Raw genomic sequence first — 26,794 nt, forward strand, 5'->3', positions numbered from 1 at the left:
GGGTGACAGAGAGAGACTCTATCTCAAACAAAACAAAACAGAACACAACAAAACAAAAAAACAACATGGATGGATTTGGGGGCTCCCATTAGGTTCTTCATTATTCTCTCTTCTAAGAAGAACATGTCTTGCGGGAAAGTGAATGTTTATTTGGAGTACAGCTAAAGTGGCAGAGTAGGGATGATCAATGCTCAGTACTCACTAGGGGAAAACAGTGAACTCTGCTCTGATCTTCCTACTTCTTAAAAGAGAGAGCCTACTTCATTAAAAAAATCACTAGCAACCTTTCTGGAGTCTTAACTATAGCAAGAAAATATTTCTCTTCTGCATGAAGCACTCAGCAGAACTGACAATTAGAGGTGTGCTGGAAAGATGATTTTGTAATGTATTCATGTAAGCAGGGTTCAAAAGAGGACTAAGCAAATGACAACTACGATTTGTAACTACAATACTCCTGGGGTCCCCAAGATGCACTGGAGCCACAGTTTGTCCTGGCTCAGAGTTCTGCCACTCTACTATCTAGTTCCCTTTCCCTATACCTTTTGCTGTGAAACATTTCTTTTTGATAGTTACTTTCTCTTGCTACCCTGCTCTGACCATAATACAGTCCTTCTAACACACCCAAGCCAACAAGTCCAGCTTCAGTAACTGAAGCAGCTGGTTTCTGTCAAAGAGATCCTATTTGAAGGAAACCAGTGTCCCAGAGACTATAACTGGGGCAGCCCTAGGGGCTTTTGGAAGTCATCCAGTCCAATACACACTATCATAGATCCTTATACTACTTTTAAACTTATCTTTAGTGATTCAAGTTAATGTTTAGTTTAAGTCCAACTCCTCTTGTTCTAGTGTGTAAACACAGTTTTTTTGAGATGGAGTCTTGGTCTGTCACCAGGCTAGAGTGCAGTGGCGTGACCTCAGCTCACTGCAACCTCCGCCTCCTGGGTTCAAGTGATTCTCCTGCCTCAGCCTCCTGAGTAGCTGGGACTACAGGTGCGTGCCACCACACCCAGCTAATTTTTGTATTTTTAGTAGAGATGGAGTTTCACCATGTTGACCAGGATGGTCTTGATCTCCTGACCTCATGATCTGCCCGCCTCGGCCTCCCAAAGTGTTGGGATTACAGGCGTGAGCCACCACACCGGGCCATTGTTTTTATTTATTTTTATTTATTTTTTTGAGACGGAGTCTTGCTCTGTCGCCCAGGCTGGAGTGCAGTGGCGCGATCTTGGCTCACTGCAAGCTCCGCCTCCCAGGTTCATGCCATTCTCCTGCCTCAGCCTTCAGAGTAGCTGGGATTACAGATGCCTGCCACCATGCCCGGCTAATTTTTTTTTGTTTGTTTGAATTTTTAGTTGAGACAGGGTTTCACCATGTTAGCCAGGATGGTCTCAATATCCTGACCTTGTGATCAGCCTGCCTCGGCCTCCCAAAGTGTTGGGATTACAGGCATGTGCCACAGCGCCCGGCCCCTTGTTTTTGTTTTAAAATACAGGGTCTCGCTCTGTTGACCAGGCTGGAGTGCAGTGGCGTGATCACAGTTTAGCCTCCAGGGCTAATCTGCTTAAGCCTCTGGAGTAGCTGGGACTACAGGTGCGTATCACCATACCTGGTTCATTAAAAAAATTTTTTTTTGTAGAGACAAGGTTTCACTGTGTTGCCCAGGTTGGTCTCAAGCTCCCAGGTTCAAACAATCTGACCGCCTCGGCCTCCCAGATTGCTGCGATTACAGGCATAAGCCACCGTGCTCGGCCTCAACACAGTTCACAGTACTCCTGTACTGTGATTCTTCAGAAAATTTGTTAACACATACACATTCAAGGCTCTCGTCAGTCCATTAGTTAGTCTCCATGTACTCATACTATCAGAATATGGGCTGTTCACATTTAACATACATGGTCTGGAAGAGGTGATGAGAGAAAAAGTATCATCTGCTAAATAATGAGAAAGAGCCCCTTAGTATGAAAGAAAATACCTGTTACACGTGAAGCAGACTTTGACGGGTAAGGGAACGAGACCATTGTGATCTAATTCATGCTGTGTCTTCTTAACATTTTTCCCTGTGGTTTCCTCCTTTCTTCTCCTCTTGCTAGAACCTAGAAAAGAAAATGATGGTGCTGAGCTATCCCTGGCTTCAGAGTTCCTAGCCTGCAATATGGAAACAACATTAAGTGACAAAAACAGATCTTAAGCATGTGTCATGGCCTAAGCATGAATTGCTCTCTGAGGCCCCTGGGGTTGATTTTAAGTTAGAAAAAAGAAAGATTAGGGAGGAAAAAAAAAGAGACTAATACGTAAGTCAGAACCAGAAGTCACCTGTTCTATGGCAGAAACACATCTAACTGTTTTGCAAACATAAAATGGTCAGAAATGCTAGGTTAGATACAGGCAACCTAAGAAATGTAAATGTCCAAGCCACATAGTCAACAAGGACTATTCTGTGGAGTTGGCCTGCAGTCTTGAACTACTGGGCTCAAGCAACTTTCCTGCCTCAGCCTCCATATGAGCCAGGACTACAGGTGTGGGCCATCAAACTCAGCTAACTTTTTTATTTTTATTTTTTGAGAGATGGGGTCTCATTATGTTGCCAAGACTGGTCTCCAATTCCTGGCCTTAAGCAATCCTCCTGCCTTGATCTCTCAAAGTACTAGGATTACAGGTGTGAGCCACCACACCTGGCCCACATTTTCATAAAAATCAGAGAAGCTTTGATTCTATATGCATCCTTCTTAAGCCTACCAATTTCACTTTCTTTGGGAATAAAAACTAAGACCTAGAAGCTTTACAGTATCAAGAAGCCAGGACTTAAAAAAAAAGAATGGAGGACAATTTGGCAATATCTATCAAAACTATATAGTTTTGACCCAGCAATTTTATTGTCCTATAGACATAGTCACACATCTATACATGTATATAATGATGTATTTACAAAGTTATTCTCTGAAGCACTACCAGTAGTAATGAAAGATTTGGAACCTAAATGTCCATTAATAGAAAATGTCCATTAATAGAAAATGGCACTGGTTAAATAAATTATGACGTATCTGTACAAAGAACTACTATGCAACCATTAAAAAAAGCAAGAAGGCCAGGCGCAGTGGCTCATGCCTATAATCCCAGCACTTTGGGATCCTCTGAGGCGGGAGGATCGTGTGAGCACAATTTGAGACCAGCCCTGGCAACATAGTGAGACCCTGTCTTTATAAAAAATATAAAAATTAGCTGAGTGTGGTGGTGTACAACTGTGGTCCCAGCTACTTGGGAGGCTGAGGTGGGAGGATTGCTTGAGCTGTGGTCACACCACTGCACCACAGTGCAGTGCAGCCTCTGTCTCAAAAAAAAAAAAATTCTATATTAATATGAAAAGACTTCTAGAACATATTTTAAAGTGAGAAAAAAAAAGCAACGTGTAGAATGGTTTAACTAGCATGTTACTTAAGGGAAAATTAATCAGCATATATCTGTATTTGCTTTTACATGCACAAAGAAATTTGAGAAGAATAAACAAGAATCAACCAGTGGTTACCTGTGAAGAGCAGGAAGGTGGAAAGTAGGCAAATGGCAGACGGGTGGGAGGGAAATTTTCATTGTAGCCCTTAATATTTTTTGATTTTTGAACCATGTGAATGTATAATACTTTTTTTTTTTAAAAGATAATTCTGGGGCCGGGCGTGGTGACTCGCACCTGTAATCCCAGCACTTCGGGAGGCCGAGGTGGGCAGATCACCTGAGGTCAGGAGTTCAAGACCAGCCTGAACAACATGGTAAAATCCTGTCTCTACTGAAAATACAAAAATTAGCCAGGCATGGTAGCATGCGCCTGTAGTCCCAGCTACTTGGAAGGCTGAAGCACGAGAATCGCCTGAACCTGGGAGGCGGAGGTTGCAATGAGCCGAGATCGTGCCACTGCACTCTAGCCTGAGTGACAAAGTGAGACTCACAAAAAAAAAAAAAAAAAAAAAAGGAAAAAGATAATTCTGGGGGAGGGGAAGGAAAGAAGTTCAGAAACTGAGAAAATGGAAAACTGAGTAAGCTCTGTAATGGCTAAGACCTTCAAAGATCTCTCCAAGCAGAACTAGGAACAGGAACCCAAGACAGTAGCTACATGAACAGTGACTCCACAGGCAGCACTGCTCTTGTGCTGGTCCTTTGGGGAAACTGGGGTTGGGAAGGGATATGATGATGGTTTGGCTGACCTGGTAGTGCAGTGGTACAAGTCAGTTCATTGGGCAACTGAAATTGGGTGGGGTTCCGCTCCATGGCGGCAGCAATCAGCAGCTCAAAGGGCCGCCTCAGCTGGGGCTGCACATAGTCTGGCTCCGCTGCTACTGGTTCCTCATCCACGTCAATGATGTCTTCGTCGACATCATTCTGCTCAGAGGTGGGAGTCTCTGTGCTGGCGCTGGATGTGGGTGTGCCAGGCCTGCTGGCTCTCCTTTCCAGGATCCGGGCATGGGCAATGGCCTTTAGTTCAGTTTTGCTGGCCGATCTGTCCAACAAGTCAGTGTCACTGCTGGGGGATGTAGTCCGTTTGCCAGATTTGTCCACCAGTCCATTGACATGACCCAGCTCCTTTTTCTGCTCTCGTTTCTGTGCAAATGAACAGGTGGGCCCATCATGAAAAGTACCATGAAACAAAGAGATGGGTGCTACAAAGTCCTGGTAGACCACTAATCAAAACTGTAAAAGGCCTTCACATATCACAGACTCATCTACCTGGTCACTTGGAACACTGGTCTGTTAAAGTTGACACAACTCTAACTGAACTAAAGCTGACAAAACTGTTGCATCAGAGAATCACCAAAAAGCATGGTAAGTTAGGAATAACTATACAAAATATATATCATTAACATTAACTCATTGTATGACATACAACATCTATAAAGTATAGGGTAAAGGGCTAAAAAGGTAACACAGTGAGAATAAATTTAGTGAGACCAATAGTAAAAATCAATGGGGCAGGCACGGTGGCTCACGTCTGTAATCCCAGCACTTTGGGAGGCCGAGGCAGGCAGATCACCTGAGGTCAGGAGTTCAAGACCAGCCTGGCCAACATGGTGAAACCCCATCTCTACTAAAAACACAAAAATTAGCTGGGTGTGGTGGCATGTGCCTGTAATCCCAGCTACTCAGGAGGCTGAGGCAGGAGAATCGCTTGAACCTGGGAGGCAAAGATTGCAGTGAACTGAGATTGCGCCATTGCACTCCAGCTTGGGCGACAGAGCAAGATTCCATCTCAAAAAAAAAAAAAAAAAAAATCAGTGAGATCACTATAGAGCCTTCTGACCTCCTGAATGGTTTTAAAAATAAAAACTTTGCTCAAAATAAGTGACACTTCTTAGAAAGTGGGGAAATGGAAAAAGATTAAGTGTACTCAGTAGGACTGGATATCTGATAGTACATTTTCCTCCAGGACTCCAAATAGAGTGGTCAAATGAAGGTTTAACACTGATCTCCAGGTAGGAGACCTGTGATCTTGTCCTATTTCTGCCACGGATCCCCTCTGACCTTGTGGTGACTCAGGCTGGTGGGCAGGAATTTCTTCATCTGTAAAATGAGACAGAAAAATCTTTCTCCTCCTCCTCTCAGGGATATGGTGGAGGGAGATAAAAAGGGTCATATATACGAAAGGGATAATTTGGAGTTGGAGTAGGACCTAGTCTTCCACTACGAATCATGATAGGGCCTGAATGTCAGGAGCTGATGAAGGCCAGAGGATGTATTATTTCAATCCACTTCAGTGTAAATACAAGAGGCCAAAGGGGAGTAGTGCTGGTGATGGTGGAAAAGGCAGACTTGGCACTGGTAGGCAGAGGTCCATGTGAAAGGTAAGAGAGGCATCTCAGGAGAAGTGCCATGTTAGAAAAGGGCATACTGTAATCCCCAACAAGTAGCTCTCCTTCTAGAAAACTGATGAAGAGGTAACAGAGGTTTGGAATGAGAGAATTTGGTTCAAACATTGGTTCTGTCAATACCTTTGAGTCCTTGGGAAAGTTAATCTACATTTTTGAGCCTCCGTTTCTTCCTTTCTAAAATGGAAACCTACGGCCAGCATTCGGTATCCATCTATGGCTGGATGGATAGATAATGGGATAACGTAATTAAAACACCTGGCACACGATGGGCACTAACATAATATTTCCTTTTCTCCACCGTCTTTACCCCTTTTCCTTCAGCTCCCCTAAACCTTTTCAGGTCCAGCTTTTTTGAGTGGCAAGTTTGAGAGGGCTCCTGGCTGGCAGGTGCCTCTAACAGGCCCTGCTCTAACCTAATTAGGGATGCACAGGAAAGGATCTTGGAAGGTGGAGAGGCTGGAAGACAGCCTGGTTTATGGAGAAATTTAACTACAGCTGTGGTTAGGTGGTTGACCTGGCTTTGGCTTGCTTTTAAATATGAACCCTTATGCACGTATTTGAAAAATAATGTCTGCTTGTTTACTTTCTTTCTTAAAGGCTGAAACTGTTACACACATAAACCACAATCTTAATCATCTCATCCTGTTTCTGCAACCAAGGAAGTCATCATTCATTGTGACATCATGTTCGGGGACCAGGCAAATAGAGGTGAGGTCACAACATAGGAAAGTTGCTTGGTGTATAATTAGTGTGGGGAGCACAGGGGGGTGGATTACAATGCACAGACAAATTCTAATCCATAGCCTGTAATTTGAGGGTTGGGTCAATCATAATTTGGGTGCAAGCACACCTACTTCCTTTTTTAATAAGGGAGAATTTAGCTCTTGTTACCCACAAGAGTTCTCAAAGTAGAAAATAATAAACCATGTTCTTGAAGCCAGTACTGAATTATCAAAGCTGAAGGAAGGGAAGCTAAAGAAAGATTAGGCAACTTGGGGTACAAATGCGTTCAAAATCCTCTCCGTCAGTATGCCAAGTCTCTGGATACCAGTGACTTATTTGCCCTGGGGTGAGAGAAAACTCCATTTTCCATCAAGCTGGAGAAGCAGCCTTTGTTTTTCAGCCATGGATAAGGCCACTTATTAGGAGGACAACAAGAAGGTAAGACTACTCCTGTCACTAGTGACTAAACATGGCTCAGTAAGTTAACACACCTCTTCTGCCCATTTCAGCAGCCCATGTTTGGATTTTTAGGCCCTACTGGATTCCAAACAGTCACCATGGGAAGAGTGGGGTGATTCCAGGGCTGGAAGAGACAAGAAGAAGGGACAAGAATGCCTTCAGGGCTAGGCCGTCTTAGCTCTAGCATATCAGTGCTCTGGATCAGGCTTTCTGGACAGTCTTCAGAAAGCAGCATTATTACCTTTCGGCGAACAGTGCACCGGTGACACATCCACTCTCCAGGAGGCAACATTTCTTCACTCAGTGGAGGGTTACTGTGGGGAACAGACAAGGGCAAGACTAAATAACTAGCCCTTTGAGGCAGTAGGAAAAGCCTAGCTAGGTTTGCATGTTCCTAAACTCCTATTGTGGCCAGTCCTGCAGGACTGCTAGGGTTGTCTCCTCCAAAATGCCTAAGTCAGCATCACTCATAATAACCTAAGGAGTGACCATCCCTTCCCACACCTTAGAGAGAGAAGCCAAATCCAGAGCTATTAACACTGGGTTTGTAGGGAAAGGTATAATAAAATAACTGAGAGGTCCTCCACACTGTTTTCTTAAAGCCTGTTAGTGTAGAGCCAAGCTTTTCTAACTGCTGTTCAAAGCCCTGTCACATGGTCCCACCGTTCCATCTTCCCAGACCCCTTCAGGTGCTCTTCCCACTATTCAAATGGAAGACTTCCTATTTCTTCCTCTAGAATACTCTTCCTTTAGAAAGCTATGCCTGTCAAAACTCTATTCATCCTTTCATACCTGCCTCAATCAGCTGTGATGGATTAAAGACAGCTGCAAATTATCTGCTCTGCCTCCCATCCACAGGTAGTCCCTTTCCCTCCTCTTGAATTGTGCTTGTCTTATGACTTGCTTTGACCACAGAATGCAGCAGAGGTGACAATGTTGCAACTTCCAAAGCTTGGCCTTAAGAGATCTGCAGATTCTATTTTTTAAGAAATATGCTTGGAAAGTTCCATCTCAGAGCCCTGCTGTCATGCTATGAGAGAGGACATGGAGGAGACAAGGTATTCCAATCAACAGTTTTGGGCTGGGCGTGGTGGCTCACACCTGGAATCCCAGCACTTTGGGAGGCCGAGGCTGGTGGATCACTCGAGATCAGGAGTTCAAGACCAGCCTGGCCAACATGGCGAAACCCCATCTCTACTAAAAATATAAAAATTAGCCAAATATGGTGGCACATGCCTGTAATCCCAGCTATTTGGGAGGCTGAGGCAGAAGAATTGCTTGAATTTGGGAGGTGGAGGTTGCAGTGAACCAAGATCACACCACTGCACTCTAGCCTGGGCAACAGAGTGAAACTCCATCTTGAGAAAACAAAAAACCAGCTTCAGCTGAACTCCAAGCCAACACGCAGCAGCAACTACTGCTATGTGAGTGAGTCATCTTGGACTTACCAGTTCAGTGAAGCCTCCAAATGACTGCAGTCCCAGCCAACATCATGTGAAACAGAAAAACCACCCAGCAGAGCCCAGGCAACCCTCAGAACTGTGAGAGATAATAATGAGTTTCTGTACCAGGCCAATGAGTTTTGGCGTAGTTTGTTATGCAACAATAGATAACCAAACAGCTTTTCCATGAGTTCATATTACTCCTGTATCTTGGACCTCTTGCTGCATGGGTTAGTTCTCTTTTGGCACTTCTCATGCTTTGCCCATTTCAGCAGTTCTCTTACTTATTTTATTAGAGGGACTAGGACAATGATTGGATCTCTTCCCTCCTTGTATTTTTATAATACAGAGGTTGTGCACACAGCAGATCACCTGAGATTGGAAGTTCAAGACCAGCCTGGCTAACACGGTGAAACCCCATCTCTATTACAAATACAAAAATTAGCTGGGCGTGGTGGTGGGCACCTGTAATCCCAGCTACTTGGGAGGCTGAGGCAGGAGAATCCTTTGAACTCGGGAGGCGGAAGTTGCAGTGAGCCAAGATTATGTCATTGCACTCCAGCCTGCGTGACAAAACTCCATCTCAAAACAAACAAACAAACAAACAAACCAAACCAAAAAACAGGCCAGGCATGGTGGCTTACACTTGTAATCCCAGCACTTTGGGAGGCCGAGGCAGGCAGAACACGACGTCAGGAGTTTGAGAACAGCCTGGCCAACATGGTGAAACCCTGTCTCTACTAATAATACAAAAATTAGCCGGGTGTAGTGGCACGCGCCTGTAGTCCCAGCTACTCAGGAGGCCGAGGCAGGAGAATCGCTTGAACCTGGGAAGTGGAGGTTGCAGTGAGCCGAGACAGTGCCACTGCACTCCAGCCTGGGCGACAGAGTGAGACTCTGTCTCAAAAACAAAACAACAACAACAACAACAAAAACCACATTTATGCTTAAGAAATTCCTACCATTGAGTTCTTGGCTAAGTCACCTACTTGGAATGGTATGCAGGAAATTTTTCTTCAAATAATGGGGGAAATGGTAAAAAAAAAAAAAAATTGAGTATTTTTTTTTGAGATGGAGTTTTGCTCTTGTTGCCCAGGCTGGAGTGCAATGGTGCGATCTTGGCTCACTGCAACCTCCGCCTCCCATGTTCAAGCAATTCTCCCGCCTCAGCCTCCTGAGTAGCTAGGATTACAAGCATGCGCCACCATGCCTGGCAAATTTTTTAGTATTTTTAGTAGAGATGGGGTTTCTCCATGTTGGTCAGACTGGTCTTGAACTCCTGACCTCAGGTGATCCACCAACCTCGGCCTCCCAAAGTGCTGGGTGTACAGGCGTGAGCCACTGTGCCCAGCCAAACTTGAGTATCTCAGAGCTTAAAGCTATGCTGTTTTACCATTTCTACATAAAATAGCACTTGACTTGGCAAATTTTCTTAGCTCCCTGTTTCCCCAGAGCCCCAAGCTTACATGTCAGATGCCCACCAAGGCTTCACAGCTCATTACTTCCCTTCCTCCCTGTTTCCTTAGTGAAATCTCAGGAGGATGCTTACCAGGAATCAGGAAACTGGAAAAACAATGGCCTGCTGGGACAGATCTCCAAGCCCTAGAGGACCACAGGTGAATGTCACCTGTAAGTCTCCGCTCATTCTAGCCAATGTAATTCTACAAAAGGCCACATCTAAACTACTGAAATGCATGCAAGTAATTTTCAAAGGCCTACAGACTCTGCTATGCTTCAGTAGCTGTCCTATCAAAATTAACCCTGAAGGGTGTCACTTCTGATTCTGTTTCTCATCATTTCTGTTCATCTGCCCACTGGCTTTGTACCAAGATATCCTACATCAAACATTTAAAACATTTAAAGTAGAGAAGATAAGACCCCTGTGGCCAGAACCCTCTTCTTTCTCCAGCTCAATCAGTTGGCCGGCTCCCTACACAGACCATACTGTTTCTCATCTGTGTCTCTGCTCACTCCAGGGCTGCTACCCACAACTACACCACTCTTCCCTAACTACTTCACCTGGTAAGCTCTTTATCTTTTGAGACTCAAGTCACGTATTCTTTCCAGGAAGCTTTCTCTGAAAGTCTCTGGTTCCACAGAGCACTTCTGCACCACACTGTATTCAAACCATTACATGTCTGAATCCCCTTCTCCATGCCTCATTTGCCTTTGTACCTCCACACCCTGTACAATGCCTGGCATGTAGTAAGTACTCAATAAAGCTTTAAAGAACTGGGGAACACTAAGGAATGGGCTTCTAGGAAGTGAGTGTAATCCTTCAAAGCTATGAGGGGAGGTAATGCAATGGGGCAGGCAACTGTTTTGTGGGTTAAATCACACATGAAATTACTTATGTTTTCTAAGTTACTACACAATGAGACAGAAGAGGAGTCCAAGTCCATACTGGCAAGCCTGTACTTACTGAACCATCCCACCTCTACTCATTTTAATCTTCTTTAAACAATTTGATTTTCAATATCGTTTATCTTAACACAAGGTAAAATGCTTAAACTTGTATTAAGAGGCTCTCAGAAGTAGCATCTTGCTAGTTTCTAAAGGATCACTTTTAGAGTTACCAAGTTTAAGAACACACTTCTGGCCGGGTGCAGTAGCTCATGCCTGTAATACCAGCACTTTGTGAGGCCGAGGTGGGTGGATTGCTTGAGCCCAGGAGTTCAAGACCAGCCTGGGCGACATGGTGAAACCCCACCTCTACTAAAAATACAAAAAATTAGCCAGGTGAGGCGGCATGAGCCTATAGCCCCAGCTACTTGTGGGGCTGAGGTGAGAGGATCACTTGAGCCTGGGAGGTAGAGCCGTGATCGTGCCACTGCACTCCAGTTTGGGCAACAGAGTGAGACCCTGTCTCAAAAATAACAACAACAAAAAACAAACAAACAAAACCACACATTCCTCAGAACTCTAGATAATGACCACAGGCTCCCTTTGTTAAGCCTGCCCTAAAGTATGGATAGGGGCTATGAATTTAGGGAGTAGTCCAGGGAAACCCAAGCATTGTCTCCCAGATGAAGACAAAACATTTAAAAGACTGAGGCCATCATTCCTTTTTTTTTTTTTTTTTGAGACGGAGTCTTGCTCAGTTGCCCAGGCTGGAGTGCAGTGGCGCGATCTTGGCTCACTGCAACCTCTGCCTCCAGGGTTCAAGCGATTCCCTTGCCTCAGCCTCCCGAGTAGCTGGGATTACAGGTTGCCCGCCATCACACCCGGCTAATTTTTATATTTTTAGTAGAGATGGGGTTTCACCATGTTGGCCAGGCTGGTCTTGACCTCCTAACCTCAAGTGATCCACCCACCTCAGCCTCCCAAAGTACTGGGATTACAGGCGTGAGCCACTGCACCTGGCTGAGGCCATCACTTCTTAAGATCTGCTTTTTTTTTGTTTGTTTTGAGATGTAGTCTCACCGTATCACCCAAGCTGGAGTTCAGTGGCGTGATCTCGGCTCACTGCAACCTCTGCCTCCTGGGTTCAAGTGATTCTCCTGCCTCAGCCTCCCGAGTAGCTGGGATTACAGGTGCCTGCCCCCATGTCCAGCTAATTTTTGTTTTTTTTTTAGAGATGGGGTTTCACCATGTTGGCCAGGCTGGTCTCGAACTCCTGACCTCAAGTAATCTGCCTACCTCGGCCTCCCAAAGTACTGGGATTACAGGTGTGAGCCACTGTGCCTGGCCAAGATTTGCTGCTTTCTTAGGGACAGAACATGCATCTTGAAATAACAAATTTGAAATGATGGTATCTTGGGAGAAGGCAGTAATATCTAAGATTAGATGGATAGGAAAGAAAGGTCTTAGAAAATGATCATCATAGGCATAGCTGGAACACAAGAATCACCCATCATAAAGCTTTCTCATGACCATGTTTCCTCTCTGCTTCAAGCAATTAATTCCTTTCAAGCTATTTAGAAGGCAGCTTTTCAATTCAAACTTCTATCTTTTTTTTGAGGCAGGGTCTCACTCTGTCACCCAGGCTGGAGTGCAGTGGGGCAATCTTGGCTCACTGAAGCCTTGACCCCCTAGGCTCAAGCAGTCCTCCCACCTCAGCCTCCCGAGTAGCTGGGACCACAGGCGCATACCACTACGCTGGGCTAAATTTTATATTTTTTGTAGAAATAGGGTTTCACTATGTTGCCGAAGGCTGGGTCTTGAACTCCTGGGCTCAAATGGTCCGCTTGCCTCTGCCTTCCAAAGTGCTGGGATTACACGTGTGAGCCAACACGCCTGGCTCAATGCAAATTTTTTAGAGGAAAGGGATTCATGAAATGGTTCCAGGAAAGACACTGTCATTGGGGTAAGCTCAGGAACCAATTCTGAAAGAGGCTGTTTTGCTCCATATCAGAAATACTGCTGACAGGGAAAGGATTCCAGGGAGAAAGGAGATTCTGCAGCCTCACGGTACTCATGTACTTATTCTGAGGACTCCCCACCTCAGCTGCCCATCTCAAAACTCCTTCCGCAGCTGGGTGTGGTGGCTCACGCCTGTAATCCCAGCACTTTGGGAGGCCAAGGTGGGTGGGTCACTTTAGGTCAGGAATTCGAGACCAGCCTGGCCAACATGGCAAAACCCTGTCTCTACTAAAAACACAAAAATTGGCTGGGTGTGGTGGTGTGCACTTGTAGTCCCAGCTACTGGGGAAGCTGAGGCAAGAGAATTGCTTGAACCCAGGAGGTGGAGGTTGCAGTGAGCCGAGACCGCATCACTGCACTCTAGCCTGGGTGACAGGAGATTCTTCCCAAAAACAAAAACAAAAACCCCTTCTTCCTTGGAAGAATGGTATTCCCATAAGCCTAGCGTGCAACTCTGAAAACAATTACATGCACACCAGAGTCTTTAAATCATGATATGCCTGTCAAGAAAAAAAGGCTCTGCCCTCGCTCCCTCTCATCCTCATGTATCAATGAAGACAGGGTCCTGGAGGCCGTCCTTTATAAGAAAAAATCATTAAAAGTTAAAAGTCACGTAACACTGAGATTACTCTACCAGAGTTTCAGCTGCTTAGCAGTGAAAACACTATAATGAGACAATGCTGCTTTTGTAAAGACATCAATGTGTTTCTTAAACTAAAGCCTAGAAATAGCATAGTGATAATTTCATTGACATCTAGGTATTACAGTTCACAAAGTATTTTAACAGATGTTCTTATTTGATCTTCACTACCATACTGTGAGATAATTCTTATTCCCATCATACAGGTGAGGAAACTGACTTATCTAAAGCCACTAAGTAGCAGAACTGGAACCCAAATCAAAGTTTCCTGGCTCTTTGAAATCTTGAGCCTAAGCTATTTTTGTTGTTGTTGTTTTGTTTTTGGTTCACTCTCAGGATATGCTTCAGAGCCCAAGTTGTTTTTTAAGAACCTTTAGTAGTCTTCTTATTTCTGGGGTACACAGTGAAATATCCATCAGGGTACCCTCCTTAACCTCAAGGCTGCGCATTTCCTTCTACATCAGTCAATATTTATTGAGTACCCATGACTTTCTCATCAATGTACTAGGTACCACACTGAAAAATGAACGCAAAGCAAACAAATTATCATCTACCCCATCAAAAAAGTAGTCTAGGCCAGGCTGTAGCTCATATCTGTAATCCCAGCACTTTGGGAGGCTAAGGTGGGAGGACTACTTGACCCCAGGAGTTAGAGGCCAGGCTGGGCAACATGGTGAGACCCCATTTCTACAAAAATACAAAAATGAGCTAGATGTGGTGGCATGCATCTGTAGTCCCAGCTACTTGGGAGGCTGAGGCAGGAGGATCACTTGAGTCCAGGAGGGCAAAACTGAAGTGAGCCATGTCCACACGACTACACCCCAACCTGGGCTTCAAAGCAAGACCCCGCCTCAAAAAAAAAGTAGCCTTGGGGAGAGAGGATCAAAATCATCCATCCACTCAAAAATTATTGGATGTTTATTTTAGGCTAGACAATGTGCTAAGTGCTGGTATTTCAGACATGGTTCTTGATTTTAGGGATCATGGGCTGGAGATAAGGTGAAAAGGACATGCAGTAATGAGAACATACATAATCAACTACAAACTGATTCTTACCATAAAGACCCACATAAAACTCAATTACTTATGGATGCCAGAATCAATGAAGAGCCCCAAAGTTTGGACATTTGGTACCTGAAGGTGACATGCGATTTTTTCCTACTCTTTTCATAATTCAGAGCTATTTAACAAATGGTAATTCAGCCAGTGAGCCTTTAAAGACAGTGAAGTTAAGGATCGTGAGGAGTTCAGGAGGAAGCCATAGTTTCAGAAGCAGGTATATTTCTGCATTTTGATAAAATACCTGATAAAAGGAAGGTTCTAGCAGTGGAGACATTTCTTCTGAAAATGAATGTTTAAGTCTGTCTAGAGCACAATAGTGTTTGAACCTTTCTTTTCTTTCTTTTTTTCTTTTCTATTTTTTTTTTTTTTTTTTGAGATGGAGTCTTGCTCTGTTGCCCAGGCTGGAGCGCAATGGTGCGATCTCTGCTCACTGCAACCTCTGCCTCCCGAGTTCAAGCAATTCTCCTCTGGAGTAGCTGGGATTACAGGCACCCGCCACCACGCCCAGCTACTTTTTGTATTTTTAGTAGAGACAGGGTTTCACTATCTTGGTCAGGCTGGTCTCGAACTCCTGACCTAAGGTGATCTACCCGCCTATGCCTTCCAAAGTGCTGAGATTACAGGCGTAAGCCACTGTGTCCAGCATGTTTGAACCTTTAGATTCCTTCTGAGAATTATCTGAGTACTTGGGATGGTGAGCTCTGGAATAGTTGTCTTCTGTACCTGAACTGGCTTGTCTTGGAAAACTGGTAGCTTTTTAGCCAACAAGCCAAGGACCTCTACTTTATTTTCTGGCTTCAAAAGAGCATAGCCTGCATTGCTATGAGACATGCATTCTTTTCCATAGGCAGAGATGACAGTGCCCTATGAAGACAGAGCTCTTGCAGAGTATCTTCCCATTTTCACTGCTGTTGATAAATTTCCTACCAGATCATTTGTTAAAAGGCCCTGGCCTACAATTCCTGGCCAGAAAGCGACCGTTCACTGCTTTTACAACTCACTATTTTATTTTATTTATTTTATTTTTTTATTTTGAGATGGAGCCTCACTCTGTCGCCCAGGCTGGAATGCAGTGGTGCGATCTCAGCTCATTGTAGCCTCTGTCTCCCGGGTTCAAGAGATTGTTGTGCCTCAGCCTCCTGAGTAGCTGGGATTACAGGCATGCACCACCACACTGGGCTAATTTTTGTCTTTTTAGTAGAGATGGGGTTTCACCACGTTGGCCAGGCTGGTCTTGAACTCCTGACCTCAAGTGATCCGCCCTCCTCAGCCTCCCAAAGTGTTGGGATTACAGGTGTGAGCCACCACTCCTGGCCCCAGCTCACTATTTTAACCACTACCTGATCTTAAAGACATGCTGTTAGTTATAAAGCTGTTCATAACAGTAAAGCCCTAAATCTTCAGAGACTGTACATTCAATTGGAGGGTATGTTTCTCAGTTTGGTGTGGCTCTCTGTGAGGCCTAGAGGGCCTACAAAGTGTTAAGAGTAATATTAACATACAAACCAATTCCTAAAGCCAACCTCTTCAGCATGACTCCAACATACCTAGACTCCCATAAACAAATCCAAATGGCCCATCTCTACTGCTGAGAAGGTTATCTAGATCAGTCTATTTCTGGAGTCATCAAGGAGAAAACCACAAACATACATCCCTCAGCTAACTGTAATGCCTATACTGACAGATTTCTGTTTCAAAGATTCAAATCGAAGCCCAGAGCCAGATGATCCCAACTCTCAGCCCGAGGTTAAAGTTCAGTTTTAATTTAGAATGCCTTGCATTCACTAATAAGGCTGCAGCTCAACACTGCAAGTAGAAGATGTTGGTAGTTGTCATGGTTCTTGGCGCTCTAATTAAGAGGATCTATTTCAAGTCATATACCAGTGTGGTTGATCTGAGTCTAACCTCACTCATCTCCCTCGCCTATTAATACATGTGAACCTGCACGACATTAACATTTACTTCAGATTTAGTCGCTACCAGTGGGACCTGTTGCTCCACAGCACCATGTTAATTATCCATCCAGAACAAGCAGTTTCTCAGTCTGGAATTGGAGGGGAGAGCGGGGGATGGGGGAATAAGAGAACAAAGGGAAGAGGCGAGAGGTAGAGGGAGAGAAAGCAAGTAGATGAAAAATATTTAAGAAAAAGTACACTCCATTTTCTCTTTCTGGATTAACAAAATAATTCTATTTAATACAAATACTTAACAGGAACACTATGTAAATAGCATATCCATATACAATACACCAACAGCCTACTAAGCAGGTTCTCTTCCAAAAGAGGTCAGTCACATGAACTGGTAGGGTCTTTCTTGTCAGAACCCGTAATTCTTCAGGAATCAGAAGCTCTCTAGCCATCTATAGCAGTTTCAGTTTCAGTCAAAATAAAACATCAGTTGGACTAAAAAGAAAGAGTTCACTGCCCCTATCATCATCTGTATGCCTCCCCACCCTTTTTTTTGGTGGGGGAAGAGGTGTTCAGCAAGCAAACAATAGGACTGAGCAGTTTTGATTTTTAATTTCACAGTTCACGGGGCTCATCCATCCATCTGAGGACCACTACCAGATAAAAATCCTGCAATTATATTTAGTCTCACTGTGTAAGACAAACTGCAAAACATAAATACATGCTCAGAACTAGCCTACTCTCCCTCAGACTGGCCCTGCGGCCCTCATCCAGCTCAGAAAATGTGTTGATACTAGCCAAAATGGGGAGTGAAGGTGATCACTGAAAGGACCACAATCATGTCTCAGCCTCCTAGCAGCCATTTTGCTCTATAAAGGGAGCCATGAGCACAGAGAACCAGCCTTTTATAAACGAAAACAAACTTATGTCCTGGAAAAGCTAAGTGGTGCTGGGTAAAGTTTAATTTAAATTTTAATTTAAATTAAAAGTTGCATTAATACACCCAAATTTTAAAGTGCATGCCTTGAGGGAACAACATTTAATGAAATGTAAATGTCAGCAGAAATAGCTAGCTTCCTCTGGACACTTGTGTGGGCATCAGCTTTTCTCTTCAAGTATGGCCTGTCTTTTGCAGGAAGATAGCTATATTGAAGGATATTAAAGAGATGGAAGGAGAAAATTCATAGGGTCCCTCAACCTTAATCCCTTATCCTCCTTCATCCTGGCTACTGACTCAAACACCACTAATGCCACAAAGTACATAAAAAGGTACAAGGACTGTTGGGTTTCTCATGCAAAGCCTCAGTGAGAGTGTTAACAAGGAAACAAATGAAGTGCCAGAACATTACAAATGCCCCATTGAGAAACTTAGCTAGTTGCGTCACTTCCACAGGCAAACAATCCTTTTAAACTGGCTGACTGTGCCCCCAAGTTTTATCGCCTTCTATGTAGAGCTGGCTGGTGGCATCTTCCCGGTAAAGGACACCTGGATACGAGTGTTACTAGTTAGTACAGGGAAAAAAGGAAGCAGGGAGGGTAGAGCACTGACAGTTATACCAGGTGTTTGCCTCTGCTAACTTTTCTACAAGCTGAGCCTCAGTCTCAAGGGCCTGATCTATCACTAGCCTGGTTTGGCTATTCTTGCAATTCTGGCTTCTCTACAAAGAAAGATGGGCTGGGGTGCAAACATTTTAAAAAGGGCCTTCATTAATTCACCTCATGATTGATGCTAGAGCCCACCTGTTTTGGAAAAGGGACAAAATTCTGGCCTCAACGGTAATTTTCTCACACTCTTGGGAACATTCCATTGGAAGGAAGAACCAACAACTGCCAACTCTGTATTCTGGAAGAGTCTCAGAGGTATGGAAAGCTGGGTACTATTCTATTGCCAAATTTTAACAGACTATCAAGAAAAAGGAAATAGCCAGGTGACACACTTCTTGCAGACACAGCTCAGGAATGTGGGCCAGTTTACAGTTTATATATATTGTACCTAAAATTCTATAAAGGCTCAGAAAACAAAAAATACTAACAATGTATTTAAAACCCAACAAAATCAAGAGAGCAGGTTTCTTTCTTTCTTTTTGAGATGGAGTCTCACTCTGTCATCCAGGTTGGAGTGCAATGGCACCATCTCAGCTCACTGCAACCTCCGCCTCCCGGTTCAACTGATTCTCCTGCCTCAGCCTCCTGAGCGGCTGGGATTACAGGCAGGCACCACCACACCCGGCTAATTTTTGTATTTTTAGTAGAGACGGGGTTTCACCATGTTGGTCAGGCTGGTCTTGAACTCCTGACCTTGTGATCCGTCCACCTCAGCTTCCCAAAGTGCTAGGATTACAGGTGTGAGCCACCGCACCCAGCCTGAGAGCAGGTTTCTACTTAAGACCCAGCTGCTTTTTCCTAAGGAGGGACTTTGGTTTAATTTACCCTCCCCTGACAGGGTCTATAGAAACAGGAAAAAGTGAGAATAATACTATTTGGGCCATGCCAGCACAGGGATTATACCCCCCTACTTTTACCCTTACCCTCTCCCATCCCCCAATTCCACTCATAAACATCAAAGCTCCCCACCCTACAGGACTGAAGTAATCTCCTGGGCATGCTGTCAAACTGTGCTGTCATGGTTTGATGCCACAGCTAAGTGCTGACTTGGGCTTCCAAAGCCTTCCAGTTATACCCACCAGTGACCTATTTATGAGTTGAACATACTTCTCCAGAGCCATGATTTTCCCCTTTGGTCCACTTTTCTTTCAGATGGTCCCTAACCAAAGAATGATCACCCTAAAGGTCTGCATGTGTACACACAAACGGTGAGCACTCAGGAAAGCCCTCAAAGAAAGGCAGCAAGCATACAAACCTTGGACATGCGTTATTTGCTATAACAAATAAAATGGAGATACTTTTCTTAACATACAGCTTACTTCAACACCAACAAACTGTAGCCTGCAGTCAGATGCCTGATATCACAGAATTAGGCATTTCCTTTGGTATGACAGTTTGCTAAGTTAAAATGGCTAAGTGTCACCCATGCCAGGCAAAACAACAAGGACCACAAAGGAGGGATACAGCAAAACAAAAATGACAAAGCAAAACAATGTTTATTAAAAAGCCAAAATTACTGACAACTCTCTCTACATTTTAGATGATGCTTTTGCAAAAAATGGCAAATAAGATCAGGGAAAGTTAAATATAGCCAACCTATGTATCGAACTATGACAAGTTACAGGTTTAGGCACATTTAATGAGATTAATGGAGCATAATTTTCACAATTATAATGTATTCTGACCAGTAATTGATGACTGCTAATTGAAAAAGTTCACTGTAGAGTTTCCCTCTAAAGCTGAGAATCAGCAGAACTATGATGGTTTAGTGAACGTGGGAATTAACGAGCACTCAGCTGATCACAGGAGCCTAGGGGTAGTGGAAAGAAAAGCAAGAGTAGGTCATCATTGCCTTATTTCATAATGCAGAGGCTTCTTTAAATTCACTTGAAGCTCTGTGCATTTCATTAGTTTCTCTGCTCTGTTCTCTGCACAAATGCAGACAGGAGAAAAATAATATTCAACATCCCTCTGAGGACCATAGCTGAGTAAAAAAGATGCTTGTGCTGCCACAAACAGGGGTCCACCTGGAACTCAAGCTTGCTAGTAATTCTGAGAGGTTCCCCTATCCCTGCCTGGCTTGGAGGTAAAGTGATGTCTTTGGGCTACCGTTAAATTCAAACCCTGCAGAGAGTCCTCTTTTGCTCACTCAAGCTTATTTCAAAACGAGCCTCACGCAGAGAGCCCAGATCAGTAGGAAAGACTGACGCTACATTCAGGCACGGAGTTGCTCCCTGCCCTGCTGTTACTCTGTATGTCTTTTGTCCTGTCAAGGCTGAGAAACATTTCTTGGGAGATATCCCATAAAATTTGTCAGAAAACAGGGGAGAGGCAAAAATTAAACACCAAAGTCACTAACTTAAAAGAAAGCAAATGTAATTAGGGGAAAAGAAATTTTCACCTTGTGTCTGTGTTAACAAAGGTATCATCCACTTGGAATAACCCAGATATCATTTTTGTTCCCCAACTACTGTTTACCTTTGCATGTCTCTCATCTGTAATACCACTAGGAATTACACGGCAGTGAGAAGAGGAAATGGGTCAGCCTCCGGCTTTTAAGTAGTTTAGTGAGCATTTATGTAGTACGATTGTAGCAAAAGGGAAAGTAGGCAGCAGAGCAAAAGGGACTCACTCTCTGAGTGAGCAAGTCAAGTTTTTCATTACTTTGAAAATTGCATCAATCTGCAAGGTGCACATGTAATTTACTTATTGTGAATTCCACAACAGCTCTATGTAGTAGTCAAGTTCCTTCCTGCTGATGGGTCAACTCATGGATTCCTCCTTTTATTAGTGTCTATTGTATGCCTCAGCTTTTGCCTCACACAAAATGTGCTAAAACCTCATCTTTGTTCTTATTTGCTGAGACTTAGGTTTAGGAATAACCTTAGGCTTAAAGGATAAGGATTTTGATATCTGGAAATGGCAGGCAGAAAAAGGAGTCACATTCTCATTCTTCTTAACTGCTCTCAAGTCCTGGGAAAAGCAGTCAGCTAGTGACCTGTGCATGCGTCCTGGGCATGGTGACAAATCTGCAATACCAAAGTGGCTTTCTGAAATTTGGTCTAGGACTTGCACTGAATACAATGTCCTCCTCTTTCAGGAAACTGGCAGGGGTACAGCCGTGCTCCTGTCCTGTATTCTCTTGGGAGGCACGCATTATGCAGAGGTTCTCTTCTAAGTGTCACTCATTGAATGGCAATGCAGCTGGCCATGTTGTACTCCCTGGGGCCTCTAAGTCAAAGGAGGAGCCCAGTGGAGGGGGGAAAACAGACTTTTTTTTTTTTTTTTTTCCTGTTCTGGTGACTTAAAACGCTGGACCTTAAAACTTGAATGCATTTCCAGGAGCTTGTGCTGCATTAATATATAAGGGCTACCATAAACCCAAACGGAATCTTTTATCAGGGTGGCCTACTTAACTGCATACCCAAGGAATTGTCCCTGTGTTGGGGTTGGGACAAGAAAGTTGAGAGATGGATTTCAGTATGCTTACCCATTATCAAAAGCCCAGAGTATTAATCTATTTTCTATTACTCTTCTTGTGGGAGAAAAGATGTACCCATTTCTGTTCAAGAAGCAGGACAGCTGCATTTTTAGGTAGCAAAAATCCTCTTGGGAGGATCAAAGCAGATGGTTTCTTTTTATGAGCCATATAAAACTGTCCAGTAAATATTCTCTGCGCTCTCTTTATTTACTGTTATCTGGGCTTATATAAAGATACAAATACACAGGTGAGTTTGCTGTAATATACAAACAACTTTTTGTTCTTGTTAACTGGGCTCAAAAGACAGCACATTTTAATTGACCTGAAGTTATTTCCACCACAACCAATAAAACTGAGACAATTAAAATCTTTTTTTTTTGAGATGGAGTTTCACTCTTGGTGCCCAGGCTAGAGTGCAATGGCGTGATCACTGCAACCTCCACCTCCCGGGTTCAAGCGATTCTCCTGCCTCAGCCTCCCAAGTACTTGGGACTCCCAAGTAGCGTGCATCACCACGCCCAGCTAATTTTGTATTTTTAGTAGAGATGGGGTTTCACCATGTTGGTCAGGCTGGTCTCGAACTCCTGACCTCAAGTGATCCACCTGCCTCGGCTCCCCAAAGTGCTGGGATTACAGGTGTGAGCCACTGCCCTCAGCCAACATCTTCTTTCTTAAACTAGGGTCCTCCAAGTATGAGAAGTGCTCAAACACAGACATTTTCTGTTGTGGCTAGTGGGTGACAGGTGAGCATCCTATCTAAAGGCAGATGGTGGATTTTTTGTACTTCCTCTAAGGCAACAATACAGCTTTAGACTTCTTTGCTAGGAAAGGACATGCAGAAAAGTTGAAACAACAACATACCAAATCACATCGTAAGGTTCTCTTCACTGGGATGTACCATCCTAACTGGAGCTCACGGAAGAAACTCTTAATTTACTGACATTACAGAGCTAATATAGGCATAGATATTAAAGTGTGCTTAAATCAACCATCTTTTGCTAGGTTAAGACTAAAAAATAAAAAATAGAGGCTGAGGCAGGAGGATCGGTTGAGGCCAGGACAGGAGTTCGAGAACAGCCTGGGTAACACAGTGAGACCCTATCTCTACAAAAAAAGGAAAAAATTAGCCGGGTGTAGTGGCAAATGCCTGTAGTCCCAGCTACTCAGGAGGCTGAGGTGGAGGATTGCTTGAGACTAGGAGTTCAAGGTTACTGTGAGTTATGACTGTGCCACTGCCCTCCAGCCTGGGAGACATAGCAAGACTCTGCCTCTAAAAATAAATAAATAGGCCAGGTGCGGTGGCTCACACCTGTAATCCCAGCACTTTGCGAGGCCGAGGCGGGCAGATCACGAGGTCAGGAGTTTGAGACCAGCCTGACCAACATGGTGAAACCCCGTCTCAACAAAAAATACAAAAATTAGCTGGGTGTGGTGGCAGGCGCCTGTAATCCCAGCTACTTGGGAGGCTGAGGCAGGAGAACCACTTGAACCTGGGAGGTGAAGGTTGCAGTGAGCTGAGATCACACCACTGTACTCCAGCCTCGGCGACAGAGGGAGACTCTGTCCCAAAAAAATAATAAGTAAAATAAAATAAATAAATAAATAAATAAAAGATGGGGGAAGTGTAAAGACAACCCACAAAATGGAAGAATACTTGTAAATCATATATGCGACAAGGAACTTATATTTACAACATATAAAGAACTCTCATAACTCAATTAAAAAACCAAACAACTCAATTAAAAATAGACAAAAATCTTAATAGAGATCTCTAAGTAAATACACAAATGACCAATAACCACATGAAAAAAAGTTTAACATCACTAGCCTTCAGGGAAATCTGATTCAAAACCATAATGTGATACTACTTCACGCTCACTAGGATGGCTTTAATCAAGAAGGCAGAAAATAACAAGTGTTGTCAAGGAAGTGGAGAAATTAGAACCCTCCTACACTACTGGTAGGAAAGTAAAATAATGCAGCTTCTTTGGAAAACAGGCAGTTCCTCCAAAGGTTAAGAGTTACCATACGACCCAGCAATTCTGCCTCTAGGTGTATATCCAAGAGAAATGAAAACTTGCACATAAAAACTTGCACCCTGGCTGGCACGGTGGCTCACACCTGTAATCCCAGCATTTTAGGAGGCTGAGGTGGGTGGATCACTTGAGGTCAGGAGTATGAGACCAGTCTGACCAACATGGTGAAACCCCGTTTCTACTAAAATTACAAAAATTAGTCGGGCGTGGTGGCGGACATCTGTAATCCCAGCTACCCGGGAGGCTGAGGCAGGAGAATCGCTTGAACCTGGGAGGTGGACGCTGCAGTGAGCTGAGATCACTCCACTGCATTTCAGCCTAGGCAACGAAGCTAGACTCTGTCTCAAAAAATAAACAAACAAACAAACAAACAAAACCAAAACCAACAACAAAGAAAACTGGCACCCAAATGTTCACAACATTATTTACAACACCAAAAAGTAGAAACTACCCAAGTGTCTATCAACTAATGAACTAATAAATAAAATGTCATCCATACAATGGAATATTGTTTAGCCATTAAAAAGCAATGTAAGTATTGATAAATGCTACAACCAGGATGAACCTTGGAAAGATTCACTGAGCTCCTCTGAGTAATTTTAGGTATCACTTGTACTTTCACTCAGGTTAGCAAAAACCAGTGTTTTATTCAACACATTCATAGTGACTAGTTGAATTCCATTTAAATTAAGATTAGACAATTTATTGAACATTACTGATTTAGCTTTCAAAAATACTCCTGGAGGCATACTTGAACTTACCAAGAACATACCAAGAACTTACAACAGACCAACATGAATCCCATCTCCAGATTCAAATGAAAGCAGTACCTAAATATTCCTTTGAACCTTTATATCTATTAAAAATACACAAGTCATTTACAAAAGCCAAAACTGTCCTAATATATTATTAGTGGAGCTATATGTAAAGTACTTAGTGAGCCTTAAGGAACAGCAGCAGATTGATGAGATTACAACTGCATCCTACCTTTTACTGAGTATGGCAATTAATTTTGGGACAGGCCTTAAGTGAAAAATTTCCCATAACAGTACTACTAAGTACTTGCCTTACTTTACACAAAAACTGTAATCTTTCAAGAGTATAACCTCCTTTTCCACTTTAAATATTTCTGACACTTGCACTCATTTCATAACAATTAGCCCCTAAGCCCTACATTAAGAAGCATGCATCTGAACCTGAGTTAAAATTGAACATTACCGTATCTTCCATATTTAGGTGGACCAGTAAGACAACATGACACGTAAGGCAGGAGAATCACTTGAACCTGGAAGGCGGAGATTGCAGTGAACTGAGATCACACCAATGCACTCTAGCCTGGGCAACAGAGTGAGACTCTGTCTCAAAAAAGAAAAAAAACAAAGACAATACGACATACCTAGATTCTAATTCAACACAGAAAATGCAAAACAAATAAATAAATAAATAAAATAAACATAAAACCAAATTAGGTTTGTTTACTGTAGAATCATTTTACTATTGATGGGGCCGGGCGAGGGGAAGGAATCTAGACGTTGTCACCTCCAGTTCGTCAGTGCTAGGCTTCTAAGCACTTACAATGTCAAAAACAACATGCTGACAAGATAATGTTAAAGTTAATATATTTTAATCTATCACTTGCCTGATACTATTCTAATGAGGAGCTAAACACAACAAAATCAGAAAAACCACCTCCTTAAAAGTTCAAACAGGTTGGGCATGACAGCTCACTCCTATAATCTCAACACTTTGTGAGGCCAAGGTGAGAGGACTGCTTGACGTGCCTGGGCAGCATAGTGAGACCCTATTTCTACAAAAACATTTAAAAAATTAGCCCAGCATGGTGGAATGTTCCTGTGGTCCCACTACTTGGGAGGCTTAGGTGGGAGGATCACTTGAGCCCAGAGTTTGAGGCTGCAGGGAGCTAGGATCAAGCCTTGGAGACCCTGTATCCAAAAACAAACAAACAACCCCACTTCAAACATCAAACATTTTCTGCAAGGCAGTTTTCTATTCTATGTGTGAAACCTTTGTTACGACTCACTGAAAATATGCAAAACTCCAAGCTGAGCTTAGTTTTGCCTGTGCACAGAGACCTTTTTACTCTCATTCTTCGAAAACCTCATTTTGGATCTCGCTGCCAACACCAGAGAGAGGAAAGCTGGCCAACAATTCCAAATATAACACGCGGAGGCAAATGCTACAGAAATCTGTCTGACGGGAAGGGACCATGCTGAGGTCTGCCGAGGTAGATGCACTTCTCTATCAGACCATTTTGGTCCCTCAGTCTGTTTGGAGCAAAATGCCATAAGAAGGTAATCACAGGAAACCAGTCAGTTTTATCATCCTGATTACTGATGCCCCATGGTATTCACTCTGTCAATGACAACAATCCTACCAATCTCAAACAGAAAGATGGGTCAGTGAAAAGTAAAGCTGTACTGGTTATTCTAATTTTTAACAGATTTTTTGGGATCAGTCCAGAGACCTTTCAGAAAGCTCAACTCATGGCATGATAATTATGATGAAGTCAGATTCACCAAGGGACACTTAAAAACATATCTCCCTCCATGGCCGGGTGTGGTGGCTCACACCTGTAATCCCAGCTCTTTGGGAGGCCGAGGCGGGTGGATCATGAGGTCAGGAGTTCGAGACCAGCCTGACCAACACGGTGAAACCCTGTCTCTACTAAAAATACAAGAAAATTAGCCAGGCCTGGTGGCGTGCGCCTGTAATCCCAGCTACTCAGAAGGCTGAGAAAGGAGAATTGCTTGAGCCCGGGAGGCGTTGCAGTGAGCTGAGATTGCGCTACTGCACTCCAGCCTCGGTGACAGAGCAAGACTCCGTCTCAGAAAAACAAAAACAAAAACACCACACACACATCTCTTTCCAATTCTCTAGGGACAGGTTTAGTAACCCCTACTATCACTCTGAATAATTGATAAACCAGTTAAACTTGGATAAAATGATTACACTATCACTTAATCAAAAAGACATCAGTTCTTCAACCTTAATTCTTTGGTGAGGTCACGGTACTGAGCACAAGACAATTCATTCCAGAGAATCATTACAGAAAACCCAGAAATAGGTTCCCAGTCTAACTGGGAAGAGATGACGTGCCTCATACAAAGCATTGTCTCCTGAGAAAAGACAACAATTAAAACAGCTTATTTGACTAGTCATTTCCTTACTATTTATCTTAGAAAGATCTCCTGTGGTTTATAGCTG

At 43.5% G+C, this 26,794-nt stretch overlaps 1 protein-coding gene and 1 long non-coding RNA gene across 4 annotated transcripts in view, besides 2 other annotated features; one reads left to right on the top strand and one right to left on the bottom strand.

The window, feature by feature from the left end:
* The window catches only part of PHF12 (PHD finger protein 12), a 46,269-nt gene that overhangs the window by 14,466 nt on the left and 5,009 nt on the right, over positions 1 to 26,794 (bottom strand). For all 3 annotated transcript variants that reach the window (NM_001033561.2, NM_001290131.2, NM_020889.3), the window contains exons 3-5: positions 7,276 to 7,348; positions 4,194 to 4,587; positions 1,973 to 2,093 (exon numbers count right to left, since the gene is read on the bottom strand). In NM_001033561.2, the coding sequence (NP_001028733.1) occupies positions 1,973 to 2,093; positions 4,194 to 4,587; positions 7,276 to 7,348 (588 nt within the window). The remainder of the gene's footprint in view (positions 1 to 1,972; positions 2,094 to 4,193; positions 4,588 to 7,275; positions 7,349 to 26,794) is intronic.
* Positions 6,312 to 6,361: an enhancer, noted in NCBI's record as "active region_11956". NCBI's record gives its function as "activates an Ori minimal core promoter by ATAC-STARR-seq in GM12878 lymphoblastoid cells {active_cell/tissue: GM12878}" and the evidence as "EXISTENCE:reporter gene assay evidence [ECO:0000049][PMID:35858748]".
* Positions 6,382 to 6,561: an enhancer, noted in NCBI's record as "active region_11957". NCBI's record gives its function as "activates an Ori minimal core promoter by ATAC-STARR-seq in GM12878 lymphoblastoid cells {active_cell/tissue: GM12878}" and the evidence as "EXISTENCE:reporter gene assay evidence [ECO:0000049][PMID:35858748]".
* Positions 6,560 to 25,034, top strand: LOC101927018 (uncharacterized). Its single transcript, NR_110803.1, has 2 exons — positions 6,560 to 7,013; positions 24,806 to 25,034. It is a non-coding gene; the product is annotated as an uncharacterized LOC101927018 (long non-coding RNA).

This window comes from Homo sapiens, chromosome 17 (assembly GCF_000001405.40).
Source record: "Homo sapiens chromosome 17, GRCh38.p14 Primary Assembly".
NCBI classification, from domain to species: Eukaryota; Metazoa; Chordata; class Mammalia; order Primates; family Hominidae; genus Homo; species Homo sapiens.